General features: G+C 41.4%; 1 protein-coding gene and 1 long non-coding RNA gene across 11 annotated transcripts in view, besides 6 other annotated features; one reads left to right on the top strand and one right to left on the bottom strand.

Annotated features, from left to right (window-relative positions):
• The window catches only part of PBX3 (PBX homeobox 3), a 220005-nt gene extending 206920 nt beyond the window's left edge, over nucleotides 1-13085 (bottom strand). For 7 of the 10 annotated variants that reach the window (NR_024122.2, NR_024123.2, NM_001411009.1 and 4 more), the window contains exons 1-2: nucleotides 12805-13085; nucleotides 11835-11908 (exon numbers count right to left, since the gene is read on the bottom strand). Coding sequence is in view for 7 of the 10 variants with exons in the window: in NM_001411009.1 (NP_001397938.1) it covers nucleotides 11835-11908; nucleotides 12805-13004 (274 nt within the window). In the remaining 3 variants the exon portion in view is untranslated. Of the gene's footprint in view, nucleotides 1-11834; nucleotides 11909-12029; nucleotides 12276-12804 lie in introns of those variants that run through there. The other 3 variants (XM_011518755.3, NM_001134778.2, XM_047423445.1) reach the window with 2 other exon arrangements.
• Nucleotides 84-1745: an enhancer, noted in NCBI's record as "VISTA enhancer hs818". NCBI's record gives its function as "enhancer in: forebrain[6/6]" and the evidence as "EXISTENCE:transgenic organism evidence [ECO:0001131][PMID:17130149]".
• Nucleotides 4365-5803: an enhancer, noted in NCBI's record as "VISTA enhancer hs1030". NCBI's record gives its function as "enhancer in: hindbrain (rhombencephalon)[6/7] | midbrain (mesencephalon)[6/7]" and the evidence as "EXISTENCE:transgenic organism evidence [ECO:0001131][PMID:17130149]".
• Nucleotides 12111-12450: a silencer, noted in NCBI's record as "silent region_20283". NCBI's record gives its function as "represses an Ori minimal core promoter by ATAC-STARR-seq in GM12878 lymphoblastoid cells {active_cell/tissue: GM12878}" and the evidence as "EXISTENCE:reporter gene assay evidence [ECO:0000049][PMID:35858748]".
• Nucleotides 12721-13250: a silencer, noted in NCBI's record as "silent region_20282". NCBI's record gives its function as "represses an Ori minimal core promoter by ATAC-STARR-seq in GM12878 lymphoblastoid cells {active_cell/tissue: GM12878}" and the evidence as "EXISTENCE:reporter gene assay evidence [ECO:0000049][PMID:35858748]".
• Nucleotides 13261-13310: a silencer, noted in NCBI's record as "silent region_20281". NCBI's record gives its function as "represses an Ori minimal core promoter by ATAC-STARR-seq in GM12878 lymphoblastoid cells {active_cell/tissue: GM12878}" and the evidence as "EXISTENCE:reporter gene assay evidence [ECO:0000049][PMID:35858748]".
• Nucleotides 13561-13990: a silencer, noted in NCBI's record as "silent region_20280". NCBI's record gives its function as "represses an Ori minimal core promoter by ATAC-STARR-seq in GM12878 lymphoblastoid cells {active_cell/tissue: GM12878}" and the evidence as "EXISTENCE:reporter gene assay evidence [ECO:0000049][PMID:35858748]".
• On the top strand, nucleotides 14529-16704 carry PBX3-DT (PBX3 divergent transcript). Its single transcript, NR_122032.1, has 2 exons — nucleotides 14529-15042; nucleotides 16521-16704. It is a non-coding gene; the product is annotated as a PBX3 divergent transcript (long non-coding RNA).
• The last annotated feature ends 533 nt before the right edge of the window (nucleotides 16705-17237 follow it).

Here is a 17237-nt window from a genome sequence, read left to right as displayed (position 1 = left end):
TGTATGAAACCCTTACATCAGATTCTTTTCTTCTCCTATGTCTCAAAAAAAAAACCTAAGACTAAAATACACAAACAGTATTTTCCTGCAATGAACCTATGAAGCACAAAAAGATGCACTGTTTAAAAGAGTTAAATCATTAAAAAGCAAATAATCACATATGAAGTCTTGAGAACTGAAATTTACAATTTAATTAAAATAGGGAATTTATGACTTTTTTTCTATTTTAAGAGAAAAATGTTGAGATGAACTTTAAAATAGAAAGTAAACTTTCAGCGTCCTGAAATTCGAGCACAAAATAATTTGTGTTGCCATCTCGTTTTAATGATCCCAACGCAGAACAAACCGCGTGAAATAAACTGCTCAGATAGGTTGGAATGGAAGAGTTGCAGAGTTAAATAAAGCAGATTTGTAAATGGCAGGATCCTCGCAGCAACTACCGAGTTCTTGCTCTGAGGCAACTGATGGAGCAGAGCTGCTCAGCGGCACTTGACAACAGCAGTGCTCCCACAATTGTAACCCTCAAATCCAATCAATCGTTGCTCTTTGCATTTCAAGCAGCTCCTGGCTGCCACTGCCTGAAGATAACTATTTTACCACCTCTGTCATGCCTAATTAACAAGTCAGATGTACAATTTAGAAATTTTGCAATTAACCTGCTAAAATATTGCTGGAGGATGCTAATTGTTATGCCAGTTGCCATAAAAGCTCATTTGCATAACTTATGTGTGAAAAACAATTATGAGCCGCGTTCACAGACGCGGTCCACAAACTGCTCCTAGCTACGGATGAGAGGGCCACAAAAACACTTAATTCATTGCCCACAAAATTATGTTCCCCCTTTTCTTAAACAGCATCTGTTTTGTGAAGCTATATTCATAGAAAATCCCCAAATCAACAATTAGAAGCATATGTAAATGTGCGATTACAGTTCTTTTTCTTTCATTGACAACTTCTCCTTTTTTGCTTGCATGAGGAGTAGGGGATGATATGATAAATGCCTCACTGTTCCAATTCCCTTGCACAACAAATAGGAAGTACATTTGGCAGTGCCAGTGAAACTGCCAGCCCACCAGCCAGGAGGAAGCCATTCTCCTCTGCTCTATCTAGTCACTGCAGCACTATCACTAGGGGCCACTTTAACAACAGAAAAGCTAAAGTCAATTGTTTCTTCAGTGAATAGGCTTCTGTTCTCCAGCATATATTTACTGAGGCATTTAGGGCAGATTTTTGCCATTAAACTGAAGTCTGTAAAACATGGTTGTCTACAAATATTTACACTAGTGCTGACCACAGCTCTGCTGCCACTCAGTGTCACTCTGGACCTGACCACATTTTTTTAAGCTCAGGTTTTGCCATCTTTGAATCAACCATTTCCACTACTTTCTCTGCCTAAGTTGAGTAGTTCTGCTGCCACCTCTGAAGCAAAGACAGCCTGGGGTGTCACTCACTATGGGATCAGGGACAAATTACTTAACCTCTCAGTGTCACCTTCCTCATATGCAAATTGAGAATTAAAATACCTACCTTGGAGCATTGCTACAAGTTTAAGAAATAATATGTCATCAGCATTATATTATTTTTCCCAATAAGTATATATTACTTTAGATTTAAAGCATGAATTTTTTTTAAAGAAATGCATGTAAAGCACCCAGCACGCAGACATTGCTGCACACAGACATTGCTCAATAAATGGCAGTAATTTTTATTATCATTATTAAATGAATGGAATCTTCTGGAGGGGAGAGGCTTATTTTTTCAGCATGCTGCATTAAAGTTCAGCAAATTATAATCGCTTAAGGAAGAAGAGGTTTAGAAATTCTACAGCTTGGCCATCAATTCTAACATTTAAAACTGAAAGGGAAAACTTTATGGGAACATCTTATCTTTTTTTCACATTACAATGGTTGACAGCTACTTTTTTATATTGGAAAATGTTTATATTTCTGAAATTATTCACTCACTGAACATCAGTCATCTAAACGAAAACTTTGAACTCCTAATTTTCAAGTTAAAGCACTCATACTGATTAAAGTTCAGTCTTTAGAAAACACTATTAGATGGCATGTCAATATTCTGCAAAATATTAGAAATTTAAAAGTAACATAATAATCACAGTAATTAAAAAGCAGCCACAATGATAATCAGTCAAAAAAAAAAGGAAACTGGTTTGATGTTAGAACTATAACATTATACTGATTACACTGAAAGTAAGAAATATTTCCTTTATTGAATACAAAATGCCATAAATTTAGGCAAATCAAAATTAGTTCATGCAATACATTGACAGAACAGAATTTATGTTTATAGAGTCCATCATTTCATTTTCAGGCATTCAGTATCTCTACTTGATCACAGTCAAAAGGTCAAGAACCAAGAAGTCAGTAAGTTCCTAAGGACATCCTCAGTATCACATCACTGCTGTAACAAGTGGTGAACACGAGGAAATTCAGACAAGTCAAACACCCACACCTCATACACAGTTAAAAGAATTTTCCTTCATTTTTTTCTCTACTGATTCTAACAAAGAAATATGATGAGAAAAACTGGAGGTTTCTCACTTATTTGAATAACAAGTGAAAATCTAAAAATATCTTCACTGTATGTTATTACCAACTGTATCACTGGGTTTTATAGTGACAGCCCTGTGCTATAATTTCTGAGAAAACCTCTGCATAAAGCTCCATAAACCCAACCATTCCTGTAATGTATCACCTTATCTAGCACACAATCATTTCAAATACAACTTTTCATGTTAGTGTAATTTGTTCAAAAATGGTAATAAATACATCCATGAAGCCACAGAAATCACTGCACAATCTATTATAACTTGTTCTTACCAGTACTGACAGTTAATCCTAGACCCAAGATCCAGTGTAAAAGAAAAATAAAATATGCCAATATTACTAGGTTTAATTAAAGATATTAATTACACACATATCTTTTAATGGACCAACAGTCCCAATCAACATTATAAATAATCTGGACCAACTACAGAGTAATGTCTGTGAACAATTATCACAAAACTAAAACATGGATGGCTGTCAGTTGGTGGCAGAGTTCTTGCTTTCATAATAAATATAAAATCAATTTCCTGCTCTAGTTCCTATTCCAAGTTGAAAATGATATATCTGACTATGAATTCCAACAACCTTCACCTGTAGTTTTTTTTTTAAAAAAAAACAATGGTGGGAGGAGAAAAGAAAGAAAAATGAAACTTGTAAGACCACCTAAGTCAATTCTTCCTCATTTAAGGACACTTGGATAGTAAAGGTAAGATGCACATTTAAGCTTGCCATTTCAAATATATATATTTTTTAATGCAATGATTTCCTCCCCATCAAATGCCATTCAAGAATTTCATAAGTCCTTCCCAATAATTCCTCTATAAATTATTTGCAGGGCTTAGTACATCTGAAAGCCTGTAGAAACCTTTGTTTAAATAATAACATGCAATTTCAAAAGCTTTTTGTTCCCTTTTCAATCAAAAATAACTTCATATGTTTTAAATGAAATTTTGCAAGTAATCAGAGACTAATGAGGATTCACTGATTTAACTAGTTCAGGGAATCAGAGAAGGGAGTGAGAATTTAAAGTAACCAAGTGTTTCATTTAGAAAAGCAGCTAATGTGGTAGGTACACTAAAAGTCGTCTTCACAGCGAAATGTAATCAGGACTTTTGTCTCAGGAGAAACTCATCCTCCTTTCTGTGCACATTCGTAACTCACATTACCATTAACAGGCATCACACATGCACACCGAAGAGATGCCTGCCTTGGTAGTATGCATGCATGGCAGCTGTGGTGACTAAATAATCCACATGGCTCTGAAGAGAAGATATGGTTTACTGGGTCCAGAGTCACAGCTACAGTGGTGGAATTCAGACACTTGAACTAAACCCCAGTAGGAATGCCTTACCCAAACCCTCTTCCTTCTAACCATACCCAGCAAATACAGTTAGGCCAGGATTTTGCAATTCCATCCTCTATGCATGGTTTATAGATAGAAGTTCCATGTTTGAGTAAACCTTAACCTTCTTGTAGGCACAGAAGGTCTGTCTTCCTCCCTTTCCCCACAGCAATCCTAGTATTCATTCATGTATTTCTCCCCAGAATATAAGAAATATCACAAAATAGCTTTATAGAGAAAAATTCAGAGGCCTAGCTTAGGCCACAAAAGTCAACAAAATCTGAATCCAGTATGAAATTCCATCTTCCACACAAAATGTCATCAGTAATCTTACCTATAAGATATATGCTGAAATATAAATTCCACAGGTTGTATAAAGGGCAGTTTAACCATGAATTATAATTGTTACAGCTTTTATGGATTCAAGTCAGAATGTTAATACTCATTTAATATAGTTTTCTGAAGCCCAATTCAACTTCTTCCTTCCTTCCCTAGTGAAGAAAATATCCTTGTGAAGTTCAATTTAGTGACATTGGTGCACAAGCCCATACACAGAAGTTTACACTTCTGAGAAGAGATAAGTGATAAACAGTTCATTAGCCATGTTAATGAAATTATGTTTTAGGAAAAAAAAGACTAGGTGACACAAAAATTTTAGTATATTTTTATACAGAAACATTACAATAAAAACTTTATATTCAGTATCTCCAATTAGGTCAATTAATATTCAGAAAAATCCTGTAACATTTCATTTAAATAATCATAGGAGGGGGAAAAAAGAATCCACCAATGTTCTGGAAGCTTCTCTAGACCTTTCAATCAATTTTATTTATATGCAAAACCAAGAGAAACTCAAAAAAAAAAAAAAAAAAAAAACAAAGCTCCTCCTGATGCTAAAGCTCTCAATTTACTGACAGGCAAATGGCTTCATGCTGCCACTTAATCTCATTTCTTGCATAATGCCCTCTAATTAGCATATCAAAGTGAATTAATACTTCTAGGGCATTAGCAATGGGGAAATCTGCTCCAGGCTCACAATAGCAGTTAAGAGAGAGCCAAGAAATCCTCAAAAACACCACAAACCACTTTGCATTGCAAAACTGTTCAATTTATTTATCCTCTCTCTCTAAACACTTTTACCGCACACTGTTTTACTACTGTTCACCAAACAAAATGATAATTGCCAAAGTTACCAGCATCTGTAATGCCTGTTTAGAATCTTAATTTAGACTGTTGCAGATAATTTCTATATGCAACCATTTGTTCTATTATAAATGTTAATATAGAGACAGTGAAAATGTTGACATTCTCAATTAGTTAATTTGAATTTGAAATAAAATTTTATGGGATTTTAAAATTTATGAATTTTTTAATGTAAAAAGCCACCTGCTGGACTCTGAAGCCTAAGAAATATGCTTTGAAAACTGATGTATCACATAAAAGAAAACAAAACAAACAAAAAATCATTTTGCCATAACATGTTGAGTCTCACAAATAATGGTTTAAACATTGTGAGGACTCATCAGCATTAAAAGGATTACATTGTATACCAAGTCCTCATTAATATGATCACTAAAAAAGAGTTATTGTCTAAACAGCTTAACATTTTTAAAGCACTTAAGTTGAAAGAAGTAGAAAACTTTTAACAATTATTTTTATCCATAAATATTTTTAATTGCTTTCATACTAACCTGTTACTATTACGTAGACAGTTATACAAAAAAAGTTACGCCAATTCAGTTTGATACATTCTATCACACCAATTTTTTTGCTAGATATACACTCAAATTTAGTGCCAAAGTAAACTAGTTACCATTAAAACCTACAAACATATTATACTATGGAATATATCTATGAAAAAATAATACAGAAGAAATTCTTGTTGCAATTCTGCCTACAAAAGGGATAATTAGAATCAAGTGTTGAAGATTAATGAAATTTATTTTTTAATATGTTCTGAGTTTGAAGGCATAAAAAGGTGGTTTATTTTTTCAGTAGCTCATTCAAGAATTACTTATTATTTGCTAAATATAGCACTGTCAACTAGATGTGATAGCAATTTGTCTGATTAACTTCAATAACTTTGTAAAAAATCAGATAGCTAGTTCTGAAAAACTTTTACCAATTTATACTACATAGTGATATAAATTATTTACTCTCTTCATACTTGAAGACTCAAATGGCCTACTGAAGTAGAGCAAATGCTTGAAAAGGTCAACACGGGCTTGAGGGGGAGGTGGTGGTAATGTGTAAGCTTTGTTAGTCAGTTAATACCTAAATCATGCTGATCACACTGATAAATGGCTAAAACACAAGACTGCTGAGAAAACAAAACATTATTCTCATAATGTCAATATTGAACTAATAAATATCTAAAGATGTTCACAAACACGAATAGGGAAAAGATAATCTAAAACCTTATATAACTTGATGTGTTAGTGCTGATGTGTTAAGCATTTATTCTAAATAGATACCTCAGGGTAGAGTACAAAATAAAGTGATGACTGACTTAGGGTGTGGTTCACGAAATGCAGTTTCAATTCTTATAGTCCCACTTCATATAATGTAACTTCATCCTATACCATGCCACTATAAAGTATCAAAATATAAATAATCCAACTAATACGTTAATTTAAATTTGCCTCAGAAGTAACCTTTTACAAAATTTATAAATTGAGATGGAAATATACAGGCAAAATTAATTAAAAGGAAAAGCATCATAGTATGAAAAATGTAGACAAGTACATTTTATGAAAGCCGATCAACCAGTGTGCTCTTTGGGGCAAGTCGGGGCCTCCTTTGCTAGTGTATTAAAAGACTTCTAATTCAGAATAAAATTATGTAAATTAATAAAATAACATAGTAAAGTCCCAAATAAAATACCAAAACTATTCAAATCTGTAATAAAATGAGGGTCATTAAAACTAAGGAACAAAAGAATTACTTGCACAGATCAAGTTAGTATTGACAAGAGAGTTCAATACATTTTTATTGGGAAGAAAAAAATAAAGAACAGGATTGGAAAATGTCTCTATATTTTAAAGATAATATCCACATGATACTTTAGATCATGAGGTTCTAAACCAGCTTGGCAATGAGATTTTTCTCCAGGTTTTCTACAAATGTATTATATGTGCTATTTTGTTAGGATGGAAATGGAAGAATAAAGAAGTAGAAAAATCCCTTTCTTTTACAACTTCTCTGAAAACCTCCTACAAAAGCTCCAGTAAGATACCAAATCTATAAAAATAGAAAAAAAAAAAGGTAAAATATTAAGTTAAGAAAAATATATTGATAAAGCAATATAATTTATAACATTTCCAAGATACTCTGACTTTGTATTTTTCCTGTTTAATCACTTAATATTTCCAATATAAGCAGACCTAATGCTTAAAATTGATATGAAACTTAAAACATTAAAGAACCATTAAAATTTGCTTCAAAATAATTTTGGAATGGTGGGAATTACAGAGAAAACACGACTGGCCAAGTATTGCTAATTGCTGAAGATGGGCACTGAGTTCATGGGAGGTTCAAGAGTCTCTGCTCTCTGCATGTTATGTTTCAAAGGTGTCCACAATAAAAAGTTGTTAAAATCTTGAAAATAAGTTCATTAAAACAAAATGTGTTTCATGAAAACACAAAAAGGAATCATGTATGGAACAGTGCATTTGTTTTTAAAACTTGAAACAAAAGATGATAATTATATTGGAAATAGTGCAAGAGCAACTTAAAAGCATATGCAAAATATATAATAACATTTAGACTAATATATAACAATTTTCACCTTTCTTGCTAAATTTTCACTTGAAAAAATTGATTTTTACATATGTAGAATTAAAAGAATCACACAGCACTGTACAAAGAAAAATGTAACAGATTTTTATATTGAAACCTTAAAAAGAGAAGCACACCAAAAAAAGACTCCAAAGAGTCTCTAAACCTGTGGGTTCACAATTAAATAGAGAGGTGTCGAATGACAGTACTGCCTTGTCTCTTTGAAAGCTAGTCACACTTCTAGCAATAAAGATAAAAGGTTTAATCTCACATCATATACTAAATGCACATAAAACCTCACTTGTAAACTATACTCTTGATCTAGTTTTAATATCTAAAATTCTTATGACTCTTTCTAGGGAGGGTTCCTTTAAAAGTAAGGCATTTTTACTAGTCATTTTCTTCTCCTTAAACATAAAAAATACTTCAACCAGCCCAACCAACCAAGCAGGCCTTTCTCTTCCCCTGCGGACACCTCCTGCAGTAGAGAAGTTCATTAAGTTTTATGATCTTCCCAAGTCAGTCCTACTTATAAGCCTCACAAAGGCTACAAATCTGGCAAACCATCATGTATGCCATTAGACATTACTAGTAAATGAACGCTATTTAGGGTTTGTGGTGGCAATAAATCAGAGTTTGGTTGGCAGCCATCAACATGGAGTATTTTAACCTATTATTTGAAAAGGAAAAGGTTGTGTTTATTTTTTTTCATGCATAACATTTTTCACAATAATGTGATTCATATTATCTACTAAAATGTGGGATTTCATTTAAAAAATAAATATTTTTTTCTTGAAAAAGAACTATTTCCTTCACTTAAACTCGCACAATTAAGGGCTTTGGAAAGAAGACAAGATTTTTCAGGATGAAATATTTCACAAAGGAAAGCACTTCAACAATTAAGATTAAGATGACCAAAAAGAGGTGGGGGCATACACCAAAAGAGGTATGCAGGTGAGCAGACCTTGTGGCATCAGGGATATTTAATAAGAGACAGATGATAAAATATGGCTTTAAAAATCAGGAGAAAAATCTTAACATATCAACAATAATCTCACTGGTTACTTGGTTTAAAATAAACAACTATTTTTATTTTAAAGCCTACAACTTTTTGGGTGCTCTCAAAATGCACAAATATCACAATTCAACAATGAGAGACATTTCTGCCCAAAAATAATGGTATGATCAATTTTACGAAAGAATATATTCTCAAGAAAAAGCAGCATCTTATAGTAGAAGTATACTTTCCTTACCTCTCAACAAGAAAATAATATAATTGTAGTAGATTACCCATTTATCTGTCAGAAGGGAAAAATACCTTTTCATATATGGTAGAGGGGGAAACAGATGTTTTCTAAACTAAATCCCCCATGTGCATAAGAACTGGCAGTGTTCACTGCCTGATCAGAAACCTCAAAATCCACTGGCAGAGCTACAAATAAACAGATTTTTTTTAAAATGATTTTGTTTTGTTTTAGAAGAAAAGCACAACTGAAATGACATTATCCACTGAAATGACAGTTCACCCTCAACCCCCTTCATTAAGCAGAATAGAGTCATCAACATAATGTTTCTGGTTTCTATTCATAAATGACTAGGTAAACTTTCTCTAAATTACAAAGAATTAATTTTTAGGTATTATTAGATTAAATAAAATGATTTTTAAAAAATATTTATGCAATATACATATATTCTACAATGTTTCTTTTATAAGTTCATGTTTCTAAAGCATGACCGACTATGGAAGCAGGAGTGGGGGGGCTTGGAATTTGCAGCCCCGCTTTCTTTGCTTTGGTAACACTAATGTCTACACAGCTGTTTTATTTCGAATTGAGGATTCTGAGTCCCTGTCTCATTCTAAGACTAGTTTTGGAGAGTGAGGTGAAGCTATGGGTAGTAGGGGAGAATGGAAAGAAGAGAAAGAGCTTCACCCCCATCAATCACTCAGTACTTAAATCCCATCCCTCTCGAGCTTAGAGAGGCTAGCAGGAAGATGCCTCTACCCAGACAGCCGCCTTTACTCTTTGTCGGCTGTTGGCTTTTTACAAAAGAGATAACGTGCAAATGTGGATCCACTGGCCAAAGCACAAAAAGAGAATCTAATTTACAAGTTATCACTGAAAGCCCCAGAAACAATTTTAAAACACAAAAATTTCTTTTGTCAGCTGCCTCTTGGTTTTTAAATAGCAATAGCCCTACCAAAGCTCTCTCTGCCAGTAATCCCAGACTTTGAAAAGATTTGTTTCTTTTTCGTAACTCACCTTTGACATGTGGTTGACTATACTTTCCTTTCAGAATGGTGTAACTAAGTCCTGTGCAAATAAGCAACTAAAGGACTTATGCTTCCTAATTGAATTCTGCCTGCTGCTAAATGTCTCAACATGAAAAGCAGTTTGCTGGGTTTAGTTCTCAAGCTAGCTAGGCCAAAACTTTAAAAAGGCAAAAATAAATAAATAAATACAAATAATGAGAAGGGGATGAGAAGCGATAAGTATCCATCCCCTCTCCCTAGTAATATAAGGCTGTATAAAGTCGAATCAATCTTAATATTCACAACATAGTCAATACCCCAGTGCTTGGCTGTCAGCAGAAACTGAAGTGGAGCCCTGATAGCAGGAAAACCCTTGGACACTAAGCATCAGAATTTACTGAGAATTGCATACTTTTAAGCTTCTAAACTAAGAATCTTCAAGACTGAATGCTAGATGTCTTATTTTACAGTCAGATAAAAATTATCTACTGCTTTAAATCAAAACGCTTTCTAAAGGTAGCTAAAAATCAACACAAAATAAAAGTTAGTAATTCAAGAAAGGATCACTGAGCATTAAGAAACCAGCCATAATATGTGAATGAAAACCAGGAAAAGTACTCTTTGGCCTCCCTTATTATTTGCTGCTTATTATGGTTTAGCATATATATTTAATAGACAGCAATAACTCATCATCTTTTCTTGATTACTTTTAGGATCAGAATAGTATTGCAAAGCGAAAAACCTGTTTCAAAGAAGGCTGACTCGCCTATCAACCTAACAATTATTTGCACTGTGCTATTTGTACACTCAATTTAAACACAATCACATGTAACCTTCTAAATAGCCTCCCTTGGATAGTGCTATATCCTGGACTTCAACTTTTTCTCCTTTGCCTCAACTTTCAAAATGGCAACTTTAAAATACCATACATCCAACACACACCAAAAAAAAAAAAAAAAAGAAAGAAAAGAACAGGAAAAAAATAAACAGTAGAGCTTGTTTAATGTACTTGTTTGCCACATACAGGGAAGATAATGCCAAATACAAACTAAAACATCCAAATCTCTGCTTCAGTTTGAGCAGTTACCTCACGTCAAGACTGAAAGACCTTCAATTAATAAAGTCTGACAAGAAAGTTAAACTGAAACGAATTGCCAAAAATTTGCCAAATATGTACCTGTAGTTTTCATTCCAGCACTTCTGCAAAACCTATCTTCTTATATATTCCCTGACTTGGACACTTCAAAATTGTTTAACCTGCATCTGTAGACCTTTTTATACTTTATATATTAAGCACAGTTACAAGTGTAATGACTTCAGAATACAAAATAATACAAGTATTAACAGATGTAATACATCGTATGTGTCTACACATCATTACCCTTCCTCGATTCTCTAAAGTAGCCTTCCCACCTAAAACACTAATTCAAGCATGCTACTGGGGTCTGTTCAATTGCATCTATTCTTCTATCCGTGCAGCTGAAGCTTAAGACTGTCTAAGTAAAACAAAGTTCGGGCGATGCTTCTCCCGGGGACTCGGTCCTGGCATCCAGTCTCCCGTTGCTCCTTTTAAAAACTGACACACAAACAAGGCGAAAGGAGAGGGAAGAGGGCGGCTGGCGCTCCGGGCCCCCTCCCCGCCTGCAGCCAGGGGCGGCCGCCGAGGGACGGCGATCCAGCCCGGTCCGCACCTACACTTCATTTTACACCAGGAGCAGAACTGAGAAATTGACTCCAGATTTATTGCAGTTTTTTCTCAAGATCAGGACGTGGGAAGGAGAGAATGATCAAAGATGGCGGTGCCCAAAAGCAGCAGCTCTCAACTGGAGAGTCGAAGGAGTAGCTCCGACCCCCACCTCGGGGGTCTCCAGGCCCACTGCGGGGCGCAGCGTCTTACCTGTTTTCTCTTTGATCTCACACAGGACGCTGAAGAGCGCTGGTTTCATTCTGTGACAGTTCAGGGCATGTTTCCTAAAAAACAAATAACGAAACACAAAGGTATTAGCATCACCTATGGAATAATATGGCGCCTTCCTTTAAGTTAGACCCAAGATTTAATTCCAGCCCCCCATTCTGGAAGGCCCTTTTGAACCGTGGGAAGTCAACAAAAACTCCAGTTGACTAGTTCCCGACAGCCAGCAAGCCCCGGCGGCGAAAGCTGCAGCCGGAACAAGGCGGACCCATCTGCCCGGCAGGCAGCAGCCTCGGCCACTGCAGACGCGACGCGAACCCGCGCGGGGAGCCTCGCCCCGGGGGCAGGCGAAGGCGACCCGGGGGAGGGGACGGGTGCGGAGGGGCTCCCGCGTCCGCTCCTGTGCAGAGGAGGCCGGCCGACTGCGGCCAGCGGGAGGGTGACAGCTCGGCAAAGTTTGCAAGGCGGCCCTCCCTCTCCGAGAACTTGGCCGTCCGCACCCGGACCCGCCAGGGAACCGCCCATCGCCCCGCGCCGGGCCCGGGTGGCCGCCCGCATCGCGAGGTCGTCCCGCGGCCGCGGGAGCCGGCGCCGGGACTCCCCGCCGGAGGAGAAAGTTACACTTCCCGGCGGCGCGGCCCGCACGGGGTCGGGGCGGGAGGTTTAAATCCCTGGGAGGGGGCCGGGCTGCGAGGGGCAGGACGGGGGAAAGGACGCCACGGAATCCGCGCCGCACCGAGTCCGTCCCGAGCCCCCCAGAGCAACTTTGCCGACTCCCGCCCGCTTCGGGGGGCGCGGGCAAGTCCCCCCGAGGCCGGGGCGGGCGGCCGGCTTTCGGAGAAAGTTCCCCGCCGGGGGCTGCGGCCCTAGCCCCGGGCGCCACCCCGGGCCTCGACTCGGCCGCGGGCCCGGCTCCCGCACACACACAAAAGATGCTTAATGAGACGACACCAACTTTGCTTGCGCCTCGTCCAAGCTCTGGTCGGTGATGGTCATGATCTGGTGGAGGATGTCGCCGATGTCCTGCTTCCTGCCGTCGCCGTCCGCCCCTTCGTGGCCGTGCGGGGGAGGCGGCAGGGCCATGCCCCCCTGCACCGAGTGGCCAGCCAGGTTCACCCCGGCCAGAGTCTGCAGCATCCTGGATTGATCGTCCATCCCGCCGCGCGCGGGCGGGAGCGGGCGGCGGCTGAGGCGAAGGCTGAGGCGGCGGCGGCGGCGGCGGCGACGAGGGAGGAGAAGAAAGAGGGGGAGGGGGAGGGGGAGGCGGCCGCGCGCTCCCCGCCCGCGCGGGGAGGGGGCGGCCCGGCCGGCAGGGCCCGCGGCTGAGGCGATGAGGACGGGCGCCCGGCTCCGGCTTCCGCCGCCGCCGAGGCTGAGGAGAAGCGGCGGGCGGAAGCGCCGGGCTCCGCGGCGGTGGCGGAGGCGGAGGCGGCGGCGCCCGCTGCCCTCACGCGGCCGCCGCGCCGCCTCCTCGCCGCCGCGCGCCCCGCCGGGCGGCCCCGCGCAACTTGCTCCTCAGCGCCCGCCGAGTTGCCGGGACGCCCGCCGCCCCCCGCGCCAGCCTGCGCACTGCCCTCCTCGGCCGCCGCCGCCGCCTCGGCCAGGCGGGATCCGAGCCCCGGCGGCCCCGGGGGAGGCAGCGGCGGCGGCGGCGGGCGGCGGCGGAGGAGGAGGCCTGCGGGCGGGCCGCGGGGAGCGAGGGGGGGCGGAGGAGGAAAGTTTGGGAGCGGGCGGGCAGAGGCGGCGGGGGCGCTGAGCCCGGAGGAGGGCCCCGGCGGGCCGCGCGCCGGGCGGACAGCCGATGGATAGGGCGGGAGAAGTCGCCGCCGCCGCCGCCGGAGCCGCGCACCCAGCCAGCAGCCGCCGCGGACCGGGCTGGAAGGCCGCTGGGCCGAGGGATTGACAGGCTGCCAGTGCCACTCACTCACTGCGGCCCCGCGCCGGGGGGAGGGACGGGGGCTGGCAAGGGCGGGGGAGCGCTCCTCAGACCCCGCCCCCGGGGCGGTGCGCGCGCTCATTGGGCTCTGCGCCTCCCGCCGCCGCCGCCGGCACCGCCCCCGGGGCCCGGCCCGTTCCCTCTGGCCTCTGATACTCCGCGCTCCGGAGTGTGCCGCCGGATCCTCGCTCCAACCTCGTCGCGTCCTAGCCCCCCGGGATAGACCGGGCCGGCCCACAAACGGTGTGCCCGCACCCCGACTCCTGCTCCATGCTTTTGGCAGTCATGGGAGCGGGGGGTTGTGTATGGGACAGTGGGCAACTCGCTGCAAAGCCAACCGTGTGCTCCCCCGCCGCGCCCGTGAGCTTCACGCCTCGGACAGCTCCTGGTGCACTTTCCCGCTCTTCCTGTCAGGAGGTGGTGCCCTCTGGGTACCAGGCCGCTCGTCCCGGGCCAATCGCAAAGCGCTTAGAGCCGAATGGGGCGGGACAGAGGCAAGAAAGGGTCGTCCCAATTGGAGCGTTCGAAAGGTTCTGGGCAGAGGCGGGGAAGCGGCGAGTGGGGGCCTCGCCCCGCCTGCGGTCGCCATGGTAACCGAGAGGGCGCAGCTCAGCGTTGGCGCCAGCACCGGGGTCTTGTGCTGTCCCTCAATGGGTGACCAGTTAAGGTGGGAACCTGTGGTCTCACATACTTGAAGTCTGAGCTGAGTGGACCTGACTGCCATAGACTTTCCATTGAAAGGGGAAATGTGTCAGAGAGAAGCGAGTCTGGGAGGAGGGAAAGTGCCTTCAGTCCAGGACTAATTTCAAGGTTTACAACACTTTACACACTCTGCAACTCCTGATAATCCAGGGACTACTCCTTTGGCAGCGTTTGCTATTCGATGCCTCCAGATGTACTGAAGCTGCAAAAACGAGCTCTTCATTACAAAGATACGTTTGTTTAGGAAGAGACTGGATTTCACTTGTCAACTTACCCCATCACCACGAGTCATTTAATGTTGGTAACGCCAGCCACGATTTTTCGTATCTATAACACCCCTTCTTCCATTGAATTCTACCTACAAATAACTGAAGGCTCACATTATTTTGGAATATGGACCTCCGCCTCTTGTGGAGACTTGAGATTGCTCTTAAGCTGATTTCCCAAACAGGGGCTGCAATGTGTGTTCCCGATTTTAGATTCATTGAGCTCACCCTAGATGAGTCCTTTGGTTCGGTGGTTCGGAAAAGTCTCTTTGTTCCTTCTCCAAACTCAGTAAGCTGTCTTACCTGAAACCAAAAATAGGGGTATGAGGATATGAAAAATGGCTCTTACTCTGCAGGGTTTAATGTAGGACAAGCAGTTCTTTAAATGCCAGATGGATTCTTGGAATGAAGCAGGCTACTCGGTTCCAGGTTCTTTCCTTCATATGTTGTGTGTACTTTTAAATACTCCCCACTGCAAAGCTAATAGCTAAGCTTACAGTTAGGCAAGCTAAAATCCTTACAAACTGCACAGCTGCTGAGGAGGGAGTTCCAAAAAATCCACTCTGCTTACTTACCTCCAAAGAAGAACCCCCTTCATGTTCATTAATATTCTCTGCTCTTCTATACCCCATTGATATGTCAAGTTTCCAATTCTTCTTTGAAGCCCCCATTATGGGTTACTTATAATCGTCATTGATTGGGTTTTTTCTTTATTCTTAATTTGTTTTTTAAAGCTGTCACCAAATTCTTAAGCATTTTTGCCAAAAGGCGCAGGAGCAAGCGGTCAACCTTTCATAATTCTCCAACGCTGAGGATGCAAAACCACAGAATTCTAACTGAAAGATGCCTTAAATTCTAAGATTCCTTCCAGCTGTAAAATTCAATAATCCTGTGACTCACTATTAGGACTCCTCTCTGCCCTCCTTCTAGACTCATAATCTTGACTAATCAGTCATGAGGATGAGGCTAATTAGCAATGGGGATTTATGGTTATTTCTAGCCCACTCCGAACAATGAGTTATGTAAGCAAAGCAACATATATAAAAATGTAAATAGGCCGGTGGCTCATGCCTGTAATCTCAGAACTTTGGGAGGCCGAGGCAGGTGGATCACAAGGTCAGGAGTTGAGACCAGCCTGGCCAACATGGTGAAACCCCATCTCTACTAAAAATACAAAAAATTAGCTGGGCTTGGTGGCAGGCGCCTGTAATCCCAGCTACTCAGGAGGCTGAGGCAGGAGAATCACTTGTACCCAGGAGGTGGAGGTTGCGGTGAACTGAGATTGTGCCACTCCCCTCCAGCCTGGGCGACAGAGTGAGACTTCTTTTCAAAAAAAAAAAAAAAAAGTAAATAAAGAAACACTTAAGCAAATAAAGGCAATTGGGAACTATGGGCTGTGTAAACACACTGGAACATAAAAACATAAATTAGAATTAAGAAAACAGTTAGGCAAATGCCAGCAATTAGGAATAAAACAACTTGTTAAATGTCTAACACCCACAGTTATTTTATGGTACACTCCTCTACACCCATGGTCATTCAGTGATGTGGAAACTTGATACCATAATTCTGCCTTAAGTGATTGAATTAGACTGACCTTCTGCTTGGGAGGCTTCTCTTTTTGTTGTTATCAGTATGAGTTGCAGTAGAAGCCTGAGGACCCTAGCAAGGATTCCTTCACAGGCTCATTGACAACTGCCGTTGATTTAAAGCATAACTTTTTTAGACTGGTTTCCAAGCCTCAATATAACTGTCAACTAATTGCAGATGTTCCAGGATCTCTTGGTGCTCGTGCCAGTGTCTCATGTAGAATGTTGCGTGATCTCTGCTCAAGAATCTGAGTCACAAGGTTGATGCCTTCACAGATGACAGAACAGAAGTTCCCTGAGTACCCGAGTCTGTCTTTGCTGTTTCTAAGGTAGTGATTATTAAAATGTCAAGGGAAATGAAATTGACTTTTGGTGAGCAGACATTCATGTAAAGTTAACAGTGACAAAGTGGTGAAAACCAAGCAGATGTTCCTTCATGGCCATCCCTTTCCATGAGTTTATATTAACATCACCATTGCCTCTGTCATCAATAGGGTGACTATCACAGCAGATGCCATTATTGAGCACTTTCTTTGGGGGTACACTATCCTCTGTGTTCCCTTGCTTCATCTTATTACAGTCTCACAACAGCCTGCTTGGGATTGTTATTAAATAAGAAATAGAATGAGAGAGAGTAAGAAATTTCCACAAGACCACAAAGCCAGTAAGTACTAGAGCTTGAATTCAAATATTGATCTATGTGGCTGCAAAGACTACCGTATAAAACACTGTGCAAAAAAGTAATTTAGCCAGGCTGGTGACATGCAACTGTAGTTCCAGCTACTTTAGAGGCAGAAACAGGAGAATCACTTGAGTGCAGTAGTTTGAGGCTGCAGTATGCTATGATCACACTTGTGAATAGCCACTGCACTCTAGCTTGAGCAAAGTAGTGCTA

This window comes from Homo sapiens, chromosome 9 (assembly GCF_000001405.40).
Source record: "Homo sapiens chromosome 9, GRCh38.p14 Primary Assembly".
NCBI lineage: Eukaryota > Metazoa > Chordata > Mammalia > Primates > Hominidae > Homo > Homo sapiens.
The sequence above is the reverse complement of the archived record's forward strand: the minus strand, read 5'-3'. Positions and strand labels throughout refer to the sequence as shown.